Source organism: Homo sapiens, chromosome 7 (assembly GCF_000001405.40).
Source record: "Homo sapiens chromosome 7, GRCh38.p14 Primary Assembly".
Lineage (NCBI taxonomy): Eukaryota > Metazoa > Chordata > Mammalia > Primates > Hominidae > Homo > Homo sapiens.
The window spans coordinates 55,637,392-55,641,175 of record NC_000007.14 but is presented as its reverse complement, the minus strand read 5'-3'; the positions used below and the strand labels follow the sequence as shown (position 1 = coordinate 55,641,175).

Here is a 3,784-nt window from a genome sequence, read left to right as displayed (position 1 = left end):
CAAAGCAAGAAGCCACTGGCCAACACTAACTAAACAGTGATAGGTGGGCTCTCTGATCAAGAATCCAAAATAGTATTTTTTTTTTTGAGACAGAGTCTTGCTCTTGTCACCCAGACTGGAGTGCAATGGCACGATCTCGGCTCACTGCAACCTCTGCCTCCCAGGTTCAAGTGATTCTCCTCCCTCAGCCTCCCGAGTAGCTGGGATTACAGGTGCCCGCCACCATACCCTGCTAACTTTTGTATTTTTTTAGTAGAGACGGAGTTTCACCATGTTAGCAAGGCTGGTCTCGAACTCCTGACCTCGTGATCTGCCCGCCTCAGTCTCCCAAAGTGCTGGGATTACAGGCGTGAGCCACTGCACCCAGCCCCAAAGTAGTATTTTTAAGGAAATTCAGTGATATACAAAATAATACAGAAAAGCAATTAAGAAATTTATCAGATAAATTTAAGGAAAAAGATTGAAATGATTTTTTAAAAACATCAAACGGAAATCCTAAAACTAAGAAGTACATCTGCTGAACAAAAATTCATGAGAGGCTCTCAATGGCAGATGCATCAAGCAGAGAAAGAAATCAGTGAGCTTAAAGACAGGCTAATGGAAAATACACAGACGAGATAAAAGAATGAAAAGTAATAAAGCATGCCTATAAGATATAGACAATCACATTGAAATAGTAAATCTAAGAATTACTGGTGTTCAAGAGGAAGCTGAGCAAAAGCAAGGAATGGAAAGTTTATTCAAAGAGGCAGGGTGCAGTGGCTCATGCCTGTAATCCCAGCACTTTGGGAGGCTGAGACAGGTGGATCACTGAAGGTCAGGAGTTCCAGACCAGCCTGACCAACATGGTGAAACCTTGTCTCTATTAAAAATACAAAAATTCACCGGATGTGGTGGTACGCAGCTGTAATCCCAGATACCTGGGAGGCTGAAGCAAAATAATTGCTTGAACTTGGGAGTCAGAGGTTGCAGTGAGCTGAGATCATGCCACTGCATTCCAGCCTGGGTGACAGAGTGAGACTCCTTCTCAGAAAAGAAAAAGGGAAAAAAAGAAAGTCTATTCAAAGAAATAATAACAGAAAACTTTCCAAAACTTGAGAAAGACATAAATCTCCAAGTATAAGAAGGTCAGAGATCACCAGACAGAGTAAAGCCAAATAAGATTACCCTAGGGCATAGGATAATAAAACCCTCAAAGGCCTAAGACAAATAAACTACTAAAAGCAGCAAGGGAAAATAAGTGAATAATATAAAGGAGCTCCAATCTGACTGGCAGCAGACTTCTAAATGGCAACTGTCCAACCCAGGAGAAAGTGGGAGTACATGTAAAGTGCTGAAAGACTAAAATTGTCAACTGTGAATACTGTAACCAGCAAAGCTATCCTTCAAACATGAAGGGGAGATAGTGTTTCTCAGACAAACAAAAGTTAAGAGAATGCATCTCATCAGACCCATCTCACAAGAAATGCCAAAGAAATTTCTTCAGTCTGAAAAGAGAAAAACGCAAATGTGCAAAAAAGAAAACATCTAAAGTTATAAAACTCATTGGTAAAAATAAGCCAACAGACAAACTCAAAATTTTGTAACTGTAGTATGCAGTCCACTTATCACTTTAGTGTGATGACTAAAAGACAAATCTATGAAAAACAAAAGTATCTACAGAAACCTGTTAAGAGAGAAGAAATACAAAGATACATAAAGTGACACAATGAAATTCAAAATGGGGAGAAGATGAAGTGTAGAGCTTTCTTAGTTTATATTATTTTCTTTGTGATCAAAGTCATCACTTTAAGATATTTTTGTAATCTTCATAATCACAGAGCAAAATTTTCTAATAAATACACTGAAAATAAAAAAGCAACAAATTAAAACACAGTACCATAGAAAATTAACCACGAAGAAGAGACAGTGAGAAAGAGAGGAGTTACAAAACAACAAAGATACAAATCACAAAACGACAATAGTACTTATTTATCAGTACTTATTTATCAAAAGAATGAACTCATTTTTTCAATTGAAAGACATTGAGTGGATGAATGAATAAAGAAACGAGATTCATATATACACTACCTACAACGAACCGATTTCATCAATAAAGACATGTATAAACTGAAAATGAAAGGATGAGAAAAAATTCCATGCGAATGGAAACCAAAAAAGAGCAGGAGTAGCAATATTTATATCATATAAAATAGACCACAAGTAAAATGTAAACAGAGATAAAGAAGGTCACTATATGATGATAAAGGGGTCAATTTCGAACACCCCAGTGGAGAAGCTGAGGTCAACATCAGATTTGAAATATTTAAGGTGGATACAAAACTATTTCAGCAATGCAGACAATTAAGTGTGGTGTTGTGGGCGATGGTGCTATTGGTAAAACAAGTCTCCTGATATCCTACACAACAAACAAATTTCCATCAGAACATATGCTGACTGTTTTTGACAACTATGCAGTCACAGTTATGATTGCTGGAGAACCATATACTCTTGGGCTTTTTGATACTGCAGGGCAAGAGGATTATGACAGATTACTACTACTGAGTTATCCACAGACAGATGTATGTCTAGTCTGTTTTTCAGTGGTCTCTCCATCTTCATTTGAAAATGTGAAAGAAAAGTGGGTGCCTGAGATAATTTGCCACTGTCCAAAGACTCCTCTCTTGCTTGCTGGGACCCAAACTGATCTCAGAGATGACTCCTCTATTGAGAAACTTGCCAAGAACAAACAGAAGCCTATCACTCCAGAGCCTGCTGAAAAGCTGGTCCGTGACCTGAAGGCTGTCAGGTATGTGGAGTGTTCTGCACTCACGCAGAAAGGCCTAAGGAACGTATTTGACTAAGCAATATTGGCTGCCCTGGAGCCTCCAGAAAGAAGAGCCGCAGGTGTGTGCTGCTATGAACATCTCTCCAGAACCCTTTCTGCACAGCTGGTGTTGGCATCATACTAAAAGTAATGTTTAAATCAAACTAAAGATTAAAAATTAAAAAAATTTTTTGCAATAATGACAAATGCCCTGCACCTACCCACATGCACTCGTGTGAGACAAGGCCCATAGGTATTAAGGTGCCATCTAGTATGCCCCCTTCCCCCTCCGAGTACTAGTTAATTTTGAGTAATTGTGTATTGTCAGAAAAGTGATTAGTACTAGTTTTTGTTTTGTAGTTTGAAAAAAATTTTTTGTTTGTTTAAAAGCAAGACATACAGACTAATTGGAATTGTTGAAGCTGCTCCCTGGTTCCACTCTGGAGAGTAATCTGGGACATCTTAGTGTTTGGGGTTTTTTTTTCTCCTCTTCTTTTCAAGGACTGTATGTGGGGTTTTTTAGTCTTGTTTTTTTTACTTAATTAACCAGTGGATAGCCCTTAAGGGGAGGAGGATGGATTGATTCCCCCTTCCACTTTCTAGATCTAGTTTAGAAAACATATTCCCCATCTGGTGCTCTTAGGAAGGAGTATAGTAAATGCCTCATTTAATAACATACTCCTTTTTGAAAGTTGCCCGTTCTCTCCACCCTGGAGTAGGTCCAGTATTTGATGAAACTCATGAAAGTGGGTGGAGCCTGTCTAGTCCCGCCTCTTTTCTAGGACACACTATATGTGATTGTGACTTTCAAGGACATTTGTTTGCCATTTGCTGATTTTTGGGGGAAGTTAATTTCTAACTTCTTTCACTGATAAATGAAGAAAAGTATTGCACCTTTGAAATACACCAAATGAATTGAGTTTGTAATTTAAAAAAGTTTTTCCCTGTCAAAAAAAGGGGGTCAATTTACCAAGAAGA

At 38.3% G+C, this 3,784-nt stretch overlaps 1 pseudogene; it reads left to right on the top strand.

Moving 5' to 3' along the window:
• On the top strand, positions 2,261–2,983 carry CDC42P2 (CDC42 pseudogene 2; annotated as a pseudogene).